We start from the raw sequence: 15,674 nt of genomic DNA, 5'->3' as shown, positions 1-15,674 counted from the left end.
TTCCATCTCTGAGTTTCAGTTGCCCTATAAAAAAAAGTGAGGATAATAATACCTCTGGGTCAGGGTTGTTTTGAAGATGAAATATGATAGCCTCTATAAATGTGCTTCATGAATGCAAATGGATGAAAAAAATTAAGAAATCTTAGTCTGTGCTGTTATTTCTTAAATGTGCCTTACAATAACATTTTACTGGCTAAAAAGTGCTAGTGATTTCCTCAATAAGATTGTTCTAGTCCATAAAGTAGATCATTTAGGTTATATGAATTTGTTTTGTTGTTATCTCTGCTCCTTCCCCACATCATAGACACAATAAGACCTGAGAACATGACCTTTTTCCAAAAACATGTTGCTCCCCATTGGAGTAGCAGAATAAACCCAGGTGGTCCATATGTAGACACCCCAGGCCTTATGGCATTGTATTATGTTTGTAGCAAACCGATTTGGGATTCTTGTTGCATTCAAAGCCTCCATTGCAAAAAGCTGCCCCAGCCAACAGCCAACCCATCTCCAGCCAACTACAGCTGATGGGATAAGAGGCATACAACTGCCTGGAGAATCTAACCACAGCCTCTAGATGAAGTCAGTAGTGGTCTCTATCTTGAAAATTCAAATTCAAAAGATATGGAGATGTAAGCTTTGGATAGTGGAGTTTGCAACTGAATTCAGTTCTTGCAGAATTGGGGCCATAGTCAGCAACTTAATAAACCAAACCTATGTGAAATCGATAGTTCAGAAGCAGTTGAAAGTGAGCCAGCACAGAAAATTAGGTTGCAGAGGACAAAATGCAGAAGACTGGCAGAGAAAACAGAGACAAGGGCCCAGAGAGCTCCAGCTCCAGAGAGGAGAGAGTTTCACTCCTAACTTTTCAGTTTCCCAGGGGATATTCCCTAATTCCTTGTTACAATTTATTTTCTGCCAGGAGATGTCAGCCAGATTCTCTGGACTATCTTTACAATACCTAATTCCCCTTTTTATTGGAGCTAGTTTGTATGGATTTTTATTACTTGTAACTATATGACCCAGTTAGTTTTAAAAAATTCTCCTGGGTTTAGAGATGTCTTAGATTGCTTTCATTCAAGGGGAATATTATTTGGTGATATAATATAAAATATAGATTTGGTCTCTGTCCCGGTTCTTGGCACAAGAGCTTCTAAGACTCTTGGAATCTCCTGAGTGATAAGAATTTTTTTTTTTTTTTTTTGCATGCTAATGAGATGGCTGGTGGCTGGAATCACTGCATGGTCCATAGACAGCTAAGGTATAGCAACTGGTTGCCTGAGGAACCAGCCTTGTGATTAGAGGGTCAGCATTTTCAGCCCCACTTCACCTCCAGGGAGGGAAAAGGGGCTGGAAATTTGAGTTCAATCCCTTATGGCCAATTGTTTAATCAATCATGACTATGTAATGGGATCTCCACAAAACCCCTAAACAACAAGGCTCAGAGTGCTTTTGGGTTGGTGAACACATCCGCTTACTGGGAGGGTGGGACACTCTGCCTCCATGGGAACAGAAGATCTCATGCTCAGGACCCTTTAAAACCTTGCTCTATATACTTCTTCATCTGGCTATTCATCTGTATCTGTTGCAATATCCTTTATAATAAGCTATTCTTTGTAATAAACTAGTAACTGTAAATAATAAACTAGTTCATCTGTGTCCTTTGTGATATCCTTTATAATAAACTAGTAACTGTAAATAAGTGTTTGTGAGCTGTTATAGCAAATTAGCAAGGAGTTAGCATCAGAATTGAATTGTAGGACACCCAGTTGGTGTCCATAGAGAATTGGAGAATCCATTTGTATGTGGGAAAACTCCACACATTTGGTGTCAGAAGTGTTGTGACTGTACAGAAAGGGAGAGTTTTTCTTTTAGGGAGGAAAAGTATGATTGTTAAGAAAAAAAAAAAAGACTAGGTGCAGTGGCTCAAACCTGTAATCCCAGCACTTTGGGAGGCCGAGCGGGTGGATCACCTGAGGTCAGGAGTTCGAGACCAGCCTGGCCAACATGGTGAAACCGCGTTTCTACTAAAAATACAAAAATGAGCTGGGCATGGTAGTGGATGCCTATAATCCCAGCTACTTGGGAGACTGAGGCAGAAGAATCGCTTGAACCCAATATTAACTAGTGTCTATTATGTTCCAGGCATTGTCCAATTACACATTATCTCACAAAAGTAGTCATTATTATACTCATTTTAAAGAGATGGAAGAACCAAGGTCCTGAAAGGTCTAGTATCTTGTCCAAGAACTCAGTCAAAAGCTCTTTCCACTATACCAGTGTCTCACCTACATCTGTGAAAAGCAATACATTACTTCCTCATCACCAACTGGATTAATTTTAAAATAAGGTCATGTAATCTGCTTAGTGTCTCAAATCATTTTCATTATCAAAGCACATTTTAAACTAATGATTCTAGTCTACGGGCCATGTAAATTAACATCTAGTAATATATTTTACTGGAAAAGGAGAGAGCATATTTCGTGAGTGCTGCAAACAATCCACCACCACCTGATTTCACCCAGTCCCATCATACCTACTTGCTTTATTCTTTTCTCAAATGTGCGCCCAGACTTCAAGGTAAGAGGTTCAAGTTCAAGTTCAATTTAACCACAACAGCCCATTGTCACTTTGCCCCATTACTCTCTATCTTATCTATCTTATAGCCTCAAAGAGTTAATGATTCATTCATGATTCAACATTTATTGAGGTGTCAGGCACTACACTGAGTGCTGGGTACAAAAGACCGCCTGACACTGTTTTTGAGAAGTCTGTTCTCGTCACTCTGGGGCATTCTAAAGGGATGCTCTCTCCTCCTTTTCCCACCCTTTCTCCCCGTTCGGCCCTGAGAGGGGCTCTTAAATAGTCCTTGGAGGTGGTTAATCTTTCGGTGAACTGGAAGGAGGGTGGGCCCGCGCAGCCTGCCCAGACCCAAAGATCAAAGGCGTGTTCCTCCAAACGCCTGAAGGAAGCCCGGCGGACTCTGAAGAATGCTGCTGGCAACCAGCGAGTTTCCAAGGGCAGAGCCAGCATTTGGAGCGAAGGATGCAAAGCTAAGAAAGGATGTTGGCAGGCCAGCTGCGCCCCGCTCGCACCTGGGTTCCCCGCGGTGTGGGGACGTAACCCAGAACCTGCCCTGCGCCTCATCCCTGAGCCAGCGGATCTGCAGCGGGACACGCACCCGCTGGCCCGGAGATTGCACCCGGAAAGGGACGGAAAGGAGGCTGTGCGGACTGAGGCTCAGAACTCCTTCCCCGTCTCGCCTACTTCCAAAAACTCTTCTCCCAGGCGGGGAAGCCTCAGAGGCTGCTTCCCTCCTCCGCCTTTGCGCTCAGCTCCCCGCTGGCCGCGAGCTCTCCAGGCACTCCTGCTGCGCTCGCCACCAGCCGTGGCGTCCCTGCAACCCCAACTCCAGGCCGACTTCCCGACGCACACAGTGCCGGACCAGAGCAAGGCCAACCACTCGCACTGGAGTGATGGGGAGATTTTTTTCTGGCCCGAGAATGGACCAAGGGACTCTCTTGCAGGGGACGTGATTCCAGGGAGCCCAGATTTCTCTCTCCCTTAGAGGTCGCAACGGAGCCAACAGAAGTCTGGCTTTAATCCACTCAGGACTTAAAAACATCATCTAATGACTGAAATCTGTCTGAGAACACAGGATGAGCGCATCCATGTCCACACACCCGGGTGGAACAAATCTTTTATTTTCTGAAGACAAGTGATTTGAAGTCCAGACTGAATGGCATTTAAGAATTAGGAATCCTGCGTGCCATCCTGGAGTGAATTAAACTAAATTAGAGTCCAGAATATGCAGCTTCTTTAAGAAAAAATTCTCCTCTGAAATATTTTCTTTCCCACTGCATTAAGTAGTGTTCCTCATGAGACACCTGAAAACATTGATTGTTAAAATGTGGTCCTGGGACCAGCAGCAATGACATCACCTGGGGCCCCACTTCAGACTCCTGGACTCAGGATCTCTGGAGGGTGGAGGCATCTAGGTGATTCTGAAGAACCACTGGCTTAAAAGTCTCCTTGGTCAGTGCTTTCCACTAATCAGTAAATATATAGAGCTAGCAGAGCTGGAGCTCTGTTTATCACTTCTCTTTTTAGAATGAAGTCTCTGTTTGACAGTGGGAAAGCCTGCTAGAATGATCCTGAGTTGCTTGTGAAGTCATACAAGCAATGAGAGAGAGAGAGAGAGAGAGAGAGAGCGAGAGAGAGGACTTCCCTGGCTGCAGTCCAGATTGGATATCTGTCTGCTTCTGAGAACTTGCAGACTCGCTTACTTGAAACACTTCATTCTCCGTTCAGGCGTCTGTAAGCTGCTTTGGTTGTTCTCCTGGTTCTTTCTAAAAGCACCTTCTAAGATAGTTTTCATAACCTAGAGGTCACAGGCAGGATACTCCCCACCCTTAACATCCCCGACCCCCAACTTCCAAACTATACTGGCTTGAGGCCAAGGGAGTTCCCCATTCTTTCTATGAAGCTACTCACCCCCTATTCATATTGAGACACACCAACTACCTGGGCTGAAGCTGGAGCAGGGTAGGCTGGGAGTTTTACCCTTCTGGGAAGACCGGAGGAGAGAGACCTATGGTGGGTGTGGGTGTGCTGATGATCTGGAATGGGAGAAGGGCTCACTGAGAAGGAGAGATGTTTAGACTGTGGGTGTGTGTTGGAGGCATGTGTGGTGTGGTCACGTTGTCATGTTCCTGGGCTAGTGGCAGCCACCACCCAGTCATTCCCACCTTGATCCTCACTCCATTCAATGGACAACCATGGGGACCTGAGTGTGCCCAGGCCCCTCCTTGGCTGAGGCTCCTGATGGGACTGGGCAGCCTCACCATCAGACACCAGTGTTATCCTATCTGCAGGTGCCAGGCTCTGACTTTGCTCTCTGGATTTCTAGGAAAAAGAAAGCTCTGGACAAATTTAGAGAGCATTAGGGAGAGGTGCAAGGTGAAAGAGAGACAGAAAGAGAGAGAGAAAGAGTCAATAGATACCAAAAAGAGGTATTTTAGTTCGTGGAAAAAAAAAGATCATTGCCTGGATGCTATAAACATACATCCCTTGGAACTTCCTGCCTGAGACACTTTCAGTTTGGGTCTAGGCACAGATAATTCACTACCCGCCACTTAGTAAAAGTAACTGACATTTTCACGGAGCTTTTCCTTTACCAAGGGATTTTACAGATATAATCTCATCTGAGCCTCACTAAGCCTCTGTAAGATGAAAGAGGAAGGTCTGCATATAATGATTATTATCATTCTCATTACCGTTATCCCTGCTTGCAGAGATGGGAAAACTGAGGATCCAGGCTCTTTCAAGAAACAGCTAGTTGGATGCAGAACCAGGGTCAAATCTACGTGTTCCCTATTCATAGCCACATGCCTCCTGCCTAAAGCAAAGGCTTCAAATTATTGGTAGGGAACTATAGATAGCCATGAAGACTTTCTAAAAATCCATGTATAGATTGGGGTTGTAAGGGAATGAGCAAGAAAAAGTTATTTCTCTATGGATGGCCTGCCTGGAATCCTCAGAATTTAGAGCATTCGTTTTGTAAAAACGTGAGTGGGAGATTGGAAAATTTGCGAAACGTGAAAGGCAATCAATTGAATCACACTGGGGACTCTTTGATTTGAACTCTGGATAGGTTGAGGCATGGGCTCTATCCCTCTGGTAGAAAGGAGAGAACACATGAATTTGAGGAACGGGACTCTGGCCAGAGCTTGAAATGTGTTCTTGAAAGTCAAGTTGGGGTGGCGGTGGTGGGGTGATGGAAGGGTATCCTGACATCTTGAAAAGTCCTCCATGTGCAAATAGACAGGTGGATGAAGTCACCGAAGTTCTCAGCCCTTGGAGAATGGGGAATTGCGCTTGGTAATGTGGTCGCCACCCCTTGGTAATGAGGTCACTATTGCTGACAGAGAGCACACCTGGCAGAGCAGCTTCTCCAGTCGGGACCAGCCTAGCGGGATCCTTCCTCCATGGCCAGGCAGAGGGCTCCACCCGCGAAGCGGCCTGTGGGGTTGGTGGAAGGGCGGAGAAGCTCTCGCTCCAGGTACCAAACTAAGCCGAGAAAAAAGGGTAAAAAATCGAAAAGAAAGAGCAAATGAAGCGGAAGTTTCAAGGCTCTCTGCGAGGAATAACAGTATAAATAACCGAAGACGTCTTGTAAACACTGCGGTCATAACCCCGAACATTAAACAGCCCCGGTGGCATCTGGCGCATCGGCCGCCGCGGGCTGCGCTGGGGCAGTGAGGGAGCCGGGTCGCAGGCTCCTCGGCCTTGCTTCTCTGTTTATCTCAACTTAATCTTCCCTTAGGAGCTGTTCCGTAGCCTGGAAAATGTTTAAATTAAACCCAGTCCGCCGGAAGTCGTGGCGGGAGCTAAACGCACCCGCTAACAGCAACCAAAAGGCAGGCATGCGGGTTTATTGTTAGAATTAATTAATGGACTATTAATAAGAAATGTAGATAATGTATGCTGCAGAGCTTTGAAAATCCTGAAACACACCCTAAGGGTTATGGAATTTACATCTTTCATAGCTTCTATTATTTCTTCACTAGTTTGCAGCTATGCTCACACCTGGAAGGTGACAAAAGGTGGAGTTTACTTTCTCGCCCGTGTCAGCAGTCATACGGTGGAATCCATGAAAATTGGATTTCCTTTTTCTGGTGCGTTTTACTCTTGAACTGTATAACTGTGGATAACTTTAATACTGCCCATTCTTTGTTTTCAGTTATATAATTTCTATTAGCCTTAAAAGTAACCGATATATTTCTTTTTTAAGGTTTCAGTATAAAACATAATCTGCATCTTCATTATGAAACTCATATGCAATTTTCTTCTATCTCTAGAAGTTTAGATTGAGGTTTAAAAGAACCATTTTCATTATCAAGCTTCCCCATAGTTTCCCACTTTCTTATTCCAAATATTTTTAAAAATCACTCCAAATATCAGAGCTTTTAGCAATATAAAGAAAGATTTATTTTCAAAAGTAGCAAAACTTGTTTGAAAAAAATATATATCTTTAAGTGAATTACTTTATAAATGTGACTGTCAAAGTCAGCTATCCTATGATCTACATTTTACAACATATTGTACAAAAGATACATTGATAGGCTCTTATCTATTTATATATTTATAATTACATATTGCACTTGGACCAGCAAGGCTTGCAGAGTCATTCACGGTAGAAGTTAATAAAGTTAAATAGATGGGAATCTTTGTAAGTACAATTGATCTCCTCTGGTTTGGAAACGAATCTCCTCGTCGTTGTAAAGTGTTCTCGCGGGGTGGGACAGAGAGAGGAGCATTGCGAGGGGGAAGCAGAGACAGAGAGCACTGAGGGCAGGGGTCGCCTTCCCGGGGCCCGCTCCCCCCGGGAGCGCGCCTTTCCCAGACTCGCACCTCCAAGGTCAGGACGCGGTGGTTCCACATAAGCGGCTCGCGGTCACCACTTCTTTCAGGTCACTCTCGGGTTTCCCGGCCACCATAAAGGGCCACGTCTGCGGGAAAGAAGAGGGTGGAGGAGGTAAGTGGCCGTGGCGGAGGGGGTGGGGTGGACTCGGGGCCTGAGATGAAAGGAAGGGGGGCGGTGGGGGCAGGCGGTGCTCTGGAGAGACCGGTTATCTCTGCAATTTACTCCCGGTCCTAGCGCACCCTGCGGCTGCATAAAGCAAATAGCTGCTTTGGCGCCAAGTCACAGCTCGAGGTGGTGGTGGTGCTGGTGGTGGTCTTTTAGAATGAGAGCCAAAAGGGCTTATACTGGGTTCCTTGTGAGACTCAATGCAGGAAGCCCCGGGCAAGCCGAGAGTGGGAGAGTGGGTGGTGCTGTGGCACTGCCTGGAGGCAGACGCTTTGGCAGTCTGAGCCGGGAAGCCCAGAACGACCTTGTGCCTACTGGGCACCGAGTTCGGGGCGAAGCGCCCTCCTGGCCTCCTTCTGAGGCGGTGGTCGGGTTTCAGGGCCCTGTCGCTTTCATCGCCTTTCATCACCATCTATTTCCCTAGTCCGACTTTCGTTTCTTCCATCGCAAACACCGGCTTTGACTACAGCTTCTAGATTAATCACCACCTCTTAAGGAAAAAAAAATGCTATACTACATTGACTTTTAATTTAAGATCGTCTTCATGCTGGACTGAGAAAGTATGCTTTCTCTTCCTTTCTCCGGGCTGTTTTATAATAAAGCTCATTTAAGTTTCTTATTCAAAGATGAAGAGAGTAGCAGTTGTAAATATTCGAGGCAACACTTTCATTTTAGGTGGAGATTTTAAAAAGCTATTTACTCATTGGGGGGGAAAAACCCCAAACTTTCAATTGGAGAGAAAACATTTTTCATGGTAAAATGTGGGTTTGCATCTTCTTCTCCAGCAATTCCAGAAACCAATTCGGTGAGAAGACAATTCAGACCCCTCTCACTACTGCTCTAGTGCTAGCTGATAAGACTTGCCTTTTAAAAGGAAAAATCTCTCATTCTTATCATATACAAACAGAGATCCTAGTAAGTTGTTGTTATTGTTTTTCTTTAGATCTTAGAAGTTTTAAAATAAAATCAAATGAAAAAAATTAAGATATATTTCTTAAACAGTAAAATACATTTGAGAAAAAAGTAGACTCAATGATTATCAGTTTTTTGTGTTAAAAAATTAGGCTCAATGGGCATTACTTTTTAAGATAAAAGGTAACATTTCTTAAATCTTGGGTGAGAGTGACCTATTTTAGTATTTATTACACTCATACTAGTGAGGATTTACTGATTTTGCTGATCATTACTAGAACTTCTGGGATTTAAAAATATTAATCCACTTATAGGAGAAGCACAGAATATTTAAGCGGTTAAGGGCTTACGTGGACAATTTGGGGGGCATAGATGTGTCCTTATCCAATGGTCCTAAATATGCTTGTGAAAGAAACGGAGTTGGGTGTTTTTATTTACAAGGAAAGGAAAATCAAGTTCCACTCTCTGCTAAAAGAAGAAAAAAGGATTAACAAAATGCCTGTCCGCTCGCAGCGTCTTGTCAGTGTTCTCAGTTCCGCAGCAGCCACTGCACCCCAGGGAGGATGGCGATGGAGCGGGAGCGGGGGATCCCTCCTCTGTGCCAGCTCAACACACTTGCAAACTTTTAATTGGGCTGCCACGTCAAACCCTCGCATAAATCACTCCCGCTCCGGGGGCTGGTAGGGCAGAGAGCGAGGGCCGTGTCTAGACCGCCCGCCTCCGGTCCCTGGAGGCTCTAGGCCCGCGGTGGTCGAGATGTGTAAGTCACCGCCGCGCCCACACCCCCACTCCCAGCCCCGCGCGCACTCGCGCCCACCGCAGGCGGGAGTGCGGGCGCGCCTGGACTGCAGCTGCAGCCCCGGGAGCACTCACCAGGTTGACCGGGTGAATGTACCCGTTCTCGTATTTGTCGTTAGCCAGGATCTGCCTCAAGTGGGCGATGTAGCTGGACGCCAGCCTGAGCGTGTCCAGCTTGGAGAGCTTGGTGTCGGGGGGCACCCAGGGCAGGGTGGTCTTGAGTCTGGAGAAGGCCTTGCTCAGCACTCGCATGCGGGCCCGCTCTCGCGCGTTGGCGGCGTTGCGCTGGACCTGCTTCCCCTCCTGGCTGACCCCGCTCAGGGGGCTCTTCTTGGTGGGCGCCTTCCTCCTCTTGCCCAGGCCGCCGCGGCCCTTCTGGGGAGACCCATTCTCGCAGTTGGAGCTCTCCTCGGTGCTCTCGTTGGAAGTCACAAATTCCTTGTTCGAATCCATTTTCAACCCGTCACATTCCAACATCTCCACCTCTTGAAGGTCCTCCACATCGCTGAGGGAGCCGGTGGACATGTTTGGGGGAGTGGACGAGGGAGAGAGAGAGAGAGAGACAGAGAGACAGAGAAAGCGAGGAAGAGGGTGAGAGAGAGACAGAGAGACCCTGAAACCAAGAGGCCTCCCGAGTGTGGCGCAGCCACCTCCTGCTGGGAGCTGGAGTTGGGGTCTGGTTGGGTCTCACAACCCTTTCCCCTTCGCAGAGTTGTGAGAAGGAACCCCGAGGACTTCTGCAGCAGAGGAACCGGCTCTCTGTTTCCCCACTCCCAGAGTCGTGGCCGTAGAGGAGGGTGAGCGAGCGCTGAGGAATTTGGTGGACACTAGGAATTTATCTGGGGAATAGAGGGGCGGATCCTTGCAGCCCAGGGAGGGGCCTGCCAGGCCCCAGCAAAGCGCTTAGACCCCTTTCACAACCGGAGGGAAACTCAATGCACAGACCCTGATTTGCAACTTGTAATGTAAATCAACTCAACTGCATCATGTACTTACCAGCCACCTTCTCCCAACTGTGGCCGGGGCCGAGAAGCAGCATGTTCTGTCCATCTGTAAAAGGCCTTCTTTCTCTCTTAAGACGTCACAACTGGTTGTTACTGAGAACTTTAGAAAAACGACTAGATCGTTTGGCTCTTTCTGGGCCTTCCACCTACACTCCATGCCCTCTCTCCTCCCAAGAAAACACGAATTAAAATACAGGGAGTATCAACCGCATCCTGCCAACACCTCATAAGACTCCAAGGCTTTACCGAGATCTTCCACCTTCCCCGGGATAAATGAAGACAAGTGCTTCCTAGAATCTTTATGGTGATGGAAAAGTAAGTATAAAACATTTCACCTACACCTGGTCATTTTCAAGACATCAAAGGACTGCCTACGTGTACACAAACATACTTGATTTGCACACTCAAACCCAACCACACACAGCTTAGTGGGAGTGGGTAGGGAATGAGAGGGCAGTATGAGTGTGTGGAAAACATTATGTTAGTTGATCATCTTTTCCTAATAAATGGAAACTTTCCCCTCGGTTTTTTTTTCTTTTCTAGAAATGCATTTAATATTGCCTTGAGAGTCTTTGTTGCTCTCAGACATCACCTTGCCTGGCACTTTTTGTGATGCACCGTCCCTTTCAATGCTGCTGTCTTTGTCTTCTTCCAGCCTGTTAGGTGCCAGTGTTCCTCACATGAAGCTGACATTACACAACACAAAGCAAGACTATCCTTTTGAGAAAGGTTCTTTTCCATCTTTAACCCCAGCTCGAACCACCTTTCCTAGAGAATAAGAAAGTCTCCTGGGAAGTAGGTAGAAAAAGCACAGGGAAACAGAACCTAGGGATTGGATGAAATTGGTGCAATGAAACCAGGGAGACTGAAGGCATAAATCTCTCTTACAATTTCTTTGCCAGGTTTTCTTCCCTTGCAGGTAGGCATTGAAGTTGAGGGGCTGGAGCAAAATGTAAGAGTGGTTTCTGAGTGGTTGGCTTAGGGTCTGAAGGCTTCTCCTACATTAAGATATCATATCTCTAATCCTAGGCTCAGCTGGGAATTCACTAACCTCTAACGTTTTGTTTTGCTAGCAGGGTCTTGTTTGCTTTCCCCCTATGCTGTAAACTAAACAGGTTGTCAGCAAATCAGTCTTTATTAATGAATTAGCGACCCCTCTTCCATAATATCTTCGCTGAGGATCCAAAATTTGTTAATCACCAGTGTAGAGATTTATGAGCTCTCTTATTTTCTGTTGTTTGTGCAGGTGGAGATTTAAATGACCACATCCACCCTAAGATTTATTGTGAGAATGATTGATGTTATAAACCAGGAAAAGGACTCTTCCCACAGCAGGGATGACAGAAATATCAAGTTGAAGTTGCCTTTGTCTTCACATACGAATGACCCAGTACTACAACACAGAAAGTATAATAATTTAATCTGAGGTTCAAGACAGCAGTGAGAGAACACCCAGCAGGCCTGTTAAAAATTTCTTCACTAATTCCTCAACTAGTTTCCTTTGATTTGCTCTCCCTTTTCTCAGTCTTGGTAAAACATGAAAGTTAAAGTTATTTTTAGACTAAAGAGCTATGTGAAAATGGGCATTGGCCAATACTTTGTGAAATGTGTGTGTGTGTGTGTGTGTGTGTGTGTAGCTACTAAGATATCTGCAAAATAACTACAAATAATTAATTTGGGCTCTGGAATGTGATAATTATTATAAATCCAAACTATGGCCTTACTGCATACATTAAGCTGTGATTTTTCTTGTTGGAGCCATTTTTTTTTCTTTTTGGCTCTGGGTCTCTGTTACACCTTAGTTAATGGACTGCTCAGGCTGTCTGGGGAGATAGTAAAAATCATAGTAATATGTACCACTGAAAAGATTTCTGTTGTCTGTATATTTTTCAATGTTGGAAACTTAAAAGTACCAATTTCTGGAAGCATGTAAAACTAGCCTCATGTCATAGGCTGGTTTTTATGCTTAGCAATTATTTTTCTTCATAGCCATATAAGAAATAATTAAGTCCCATGTCCATTTATCTTGCAGTAAGACATTTGGGCTGAGAAAGGCTAGTGGGCTGATAATAAATTTTGGAGTGTTTCTAAAATTCTGTAAAAGATGGCTTCCAGTTTGGGAGTAAGAGTCGAAGAATACTGTTGCTTATGTATCTTGATATGAAGTCTTGGAGAGAGAATATTCATATGAAAAATACTTTTTTTCTTTTAAAATTTTGTGTCTATCCCTGCTAATAAACACTTAGGGACAAATGGGTGGGAGAAATGACTTCTTGTTGGATTCTACTGAGCAAGTCATTTAAGCTGTAACTTAAGCTGTGCCAAATTCTCCCAAAATATAAACTATATTCTGTGAGAAGACAAGCACTTTTGAGAAGCTGTATTAACCCTTTTGGTAAGTTGACCATTTCTGTTCCAAAGCACGAAATAGAAAACTCGTGATTTGAAAGTATGAGATCATTTCTAAAAGTTCTTACCTGACTTTTAAGAAACATTTATGCCCCAGAGGCATCTGGCCAATTTGCTGCTCACTTCTAACAATTTGTTTTGCAAGAGAGACTATCTTTGAAAGATTTTAGTGCTAAGGAAATTTTATCTCTGAAAGCTGTAAAATGAAGATTAGGCATGGAATGTACCCTTGAACTTAAATCCTGGTTTATCAGCTGATACATTTACAGGAAGTTCAAATTTGATTCAGTTGCACTTGGATGGAATAATTTGCTTCCTTTTTTATGAGAAGGAAAACATCATAGGCTTCCTTTGAACTGACTTCATATGCCATTACATAATCTTTCTCAGGGGAAAAATATGCCTTTAAATTTAAATGTTAATCCTTTTCTCTTACTCCTCATCATTTGGTCAGGAGACACAGGCTGGCAAATTGGCAAAACTGCCCATTCTCTTTTTTCTTCATTTCTAATTAGCACCTCCAGATGTTTTATTCATTTTATTTGATGGTAACTACCACCACTTCAAATATTTGCCAACTTTCTATGCAAAAAAAAGTTGACGCCTTTTTTTTTTCTTTTTTTGATGGAGTCTTGCTCTGTCACCCAAGCTGGAGTGCATCAGCACGATCTAGGCTAACTGCAACCTCCGCCTCCCAGGTTCAAGAGATTCTCATGCCTCAGCCTCCCGAGTAGCTAGAATTACAGGTGCCTGCCACCATGCCTATCTAATTTTTGTATTTTTAGTAGAGGTGGGGTTTCACCATTTTGGCCAGGCTGGTTTCAAACTCCTGATCTACCCACTTCAGACTCCCAAAGTGCTGGGATTACAGGCATGAGCCACCGTGCCCAGCCAGGTGCCTCTTTTTTGATTTTACATAATTATCTCCATATACTTTGTTTGCTGCTGATTGACTGTTGTCTATCTCCCGCTTATATGCCTATCAAACTCTGACTTTGTTTCATTAAATTTTAACTTTATTTAATAAAGTGAGCATTACCTCTCTTTGCTCATTCTAAATTATAGTGGTGCTGTCCTGTTATATTTTGGCAGCCAAAGTGAATATGGCACTAGTGAGCTTGGTGGCTAGCTAAGAAGGTCAATAACAGTGATGCTGGGTATTGCTGCTACCTTTACCTGGCACCAGCTGGGAGATGGTATAAATCCTGGATGGTATAAATCCATTCAGTAATTAGAAGTCTTCTGCGTGTTCACTATACCTTAACCCCCTCTTTTCACATTTAATTCAGTGAATTGTAGATAAGATGCCACATTGCTAAGATTTAAAGGTGGCAAATAACAACAATAAAGTCTAGGGAAAGATTCTGCATGGTTCTTTGAATCCAGGAGTTAATCTTGCATTTCACATGTTCCACAATACAGCTTTGAAAGCAGCCAAGCCTATGCACTTGAAAGTCAGAATTTACCCTAAGGTGTAAGTGGGCCAGAGAAAACTCGGGCAGACAAAGAGAGTTAAAAATTTTGCAAAGCCAGTTTAATGTCCTCCTAAGTTTTCTAATACTAGAATAATTTTATTAGACCCTGTCAGTGTTAGGAAAGAGAGAGAAAAGGACTGAGCGACTCCTGAGTCAGGTACCATGCAGGGACTTTTGCCTCCATTCTCTCATTTCATGTATTTTCTCTCCTTTCTGTTGGCACTACTAAAGAAAGAGCTGCCACATGAAATGAACAGTGTATTAGAAATGTATGCCAGAGGCTTTCCCCTGTAATAAAGTTTTAGAAAAACTGGCTTGAGTGATGACTATTCTGTATCTTAAAATAAAGCTTGAAAGCAAAACCTCCCAAGCTTTCACAAAAAGAATAAATCTTCTAGGTTGTATGGGAGACCTCTGTAATGCACTTATATGTTAAATATAGTTTATTGATGGGCATAAAACAATACAGGCCAACTTGCTGTCAGCCTCCTTCCTGTCAGCTTGGGAGAGTATGGGCACTGGAATCAAAGGCTCCTTCGGGTGATTACCTCTTTGGGATTATTTCCTGGTGGCAGGTGCTTTCAGCTTTGAGGAGACAAGAGTTGCAGGGTTTAGATCTTAGGACCAGCAGGAAAGTACTGAGTGTGAATCCTGACTTTAGGAAGATGAAATATTTCCAGGTGATGAAGCAGTTTAAAATAGAGACACAAAGTAATAGTTTGTCAGAATTGGATGGGGCTGGGGACCAAGGAGGCCATAAATAATCACAAACTCTGTTCCAGTGAGGTATCAGGGACAGTACTGCCCACCTGACCCTGTGTCCTGATTTGCCTCGTATTATTCCTTCCACTGAGTCACATTGCCATGAATGGTTTTTGCTGTTTGAATAATCATAGTAAATGTGAGAAAGCTTCTATTCTGTTATTCCCTATTTAGAATATGTAACCATTGATCCCGAAATTATACAAAATGAGATAGACTTGAGCTGTCCTGGGATATAATGCTTAGAACCCTGTCTAAGATGGTTTAAGTAACGTAATCGCCAGAAGGACTTTGTTAAAATAAAAATCTCATCTCTACCGTAGAAACCTGATGGGCCATCCGAGGGCCACTCATTCAACTAACATATCCCCAAATCTGCCCTCTTCTCACCATTTCCTCTGCTAAACACCGGATCGAGTCACTAAAGTCACTCAGATGATAACAGTCTCTTAAATGGTCTTTTTGTTTCCATTCTTGTCCTCTTAAAATCTATTGCCAATACAGTGGTTCAAGTCATTCCCCTGCTTAAAATCTCTTAAAGCTTCTCATTGTGTTTAATATAAAATCCACACTTCCTATTGTGGCTTGTATGACTGGTTTGCTTGCTACCCTTTAACCACGCCGGCCATGTCTGTGCTCCTCCAAGACACAACACCCATTCCTCCCTCAGGACCCTTGCCTTGCTGGTTTTCCAGTTTGGATGTTTTTGTCCGGCTCTCTGCATGG

The 15,674-nt window shown here is 44.2% G+C and overlaps 1 protein-coding gene and 1 long non-coding RNA gene across 3 annotated transcripts in view, besides 3 other annotated features; one reads left to right on the top strand and one right to left on the bottom strand.

Moving 5' to 3' along the window:
- TCF21 (transcription factor 21) lies at positions 3,684-10,108 on the bottom strand. Of its 2 annotated transcripts, NM_198392.3 has the most exons (3): positions 9,374-10,108; positions 7,411-7,508; positions 3,684-6,066 (listed from the first exon to the last, which is right to left on the bottom strand). In NM_198392.3, exons 1-2 carry the CDS (start codon positions 9,821-9,823, stop codon positions 7,419-7,421), a joined length of 540 nt encoding a protein of 179 aa, NP_938206.1. In that variant the 5' UTR covers positions 9,824-10,108; the 3' UTR covers positions 3,684-6,066; positions 7,411-7,418. The 2 variants fall into 2 exon arrangements, with proteins under 2 accessions (NP_938206.1, NP_003197.2); NM_003206.4 differs by lacking the exon at positions 3,684-6,066 and having other exon boundaries at positions 6,964-7,508.
- Positions 6,137-6,745: an enhancer, noted in NCBI's record as "H3K4me1 hESC enhancer chr6:134213614-134214222 (GRCh37/hg19 assembly coordinates)". NCBI's record gives its function as "activates a minimal SCP1, AML or CMV promoter by ChIP-STARR-seq in primed H9 embryonic stem cells {active_cell/tissue: H9 hESC(primed)}" and the evidence as "EXISTENCE:reporter gene assay evidence [ECO:0000049][PMID:30033119]".
- Positions 7,631-8,395: an enhancer, noted in NCBI's record as "H3K4me1 hESC enhancer chr6:134211964-134212728 (GRCh37/hg19 assembly coordinates)". NCBI's record gives its function as "activates a minimal SCP1, AML or CMV promoter by ChIP-STARR-seq in primed H9 embryonic stem cells {active_cell/tissue: H9 hESC(primed)}" and the evidence as "EXISTENCE:reporter gene assay evidence [ECO:0000049][PMID:30033119]".
- Positions 9,647-10,560: an enhancer, noted in NCBI's record as "OCT4-NANOG-H3K4me1 hESC enhancer chr6:134209799-134210712 (GRCh37/hg19 assembly coordinates)". NCBI's record gives its function as "activates a minimal SCP1, AML or CMV promoter by ChIP-STARR-seq in naive H9 embryonic stem cells {active_cell/tissue: H9 hESC(naive)}" and the evidence as "EXISTENCE:reporter gene assay evidence [ECO:0000049][PMID:30033119]".
- The window catches only part of TARID (TCF21 antisense RNA inducing promoter demethylation), a 386,755-nt gene continuing 381,295 nt past the window's right edge, over positions 10,215-15,674 (top strand). The window contains exon 1 of the long non-coding RNA NR_109982.1: positions 10,215-10,617. This is a non-coding gene — a long non-coding RNA (TCF21 antisense RNA inducing promoter demethylation). The remainder of the gene's footprint in view (positions 10,618-15,674) is intronic.

Source organism: Homo sapiens, chromosome 6 (assembly GCF_000001405.40).
Source record: "Homo sapiens chromosome 6, GRCh38.p14 Primary Assembly".
NCBI classification, from domain to species: domain Eukaryota; kingdom Metazoa; phylum Chordata; class Mammalia; order Primates; family Hominidae; genus Homo; species Homo sapiens.
Note: the sequence above shows the minus strand (reverse complement) of the source record. Positions and strands in the feature narration are given on the sequence as shown.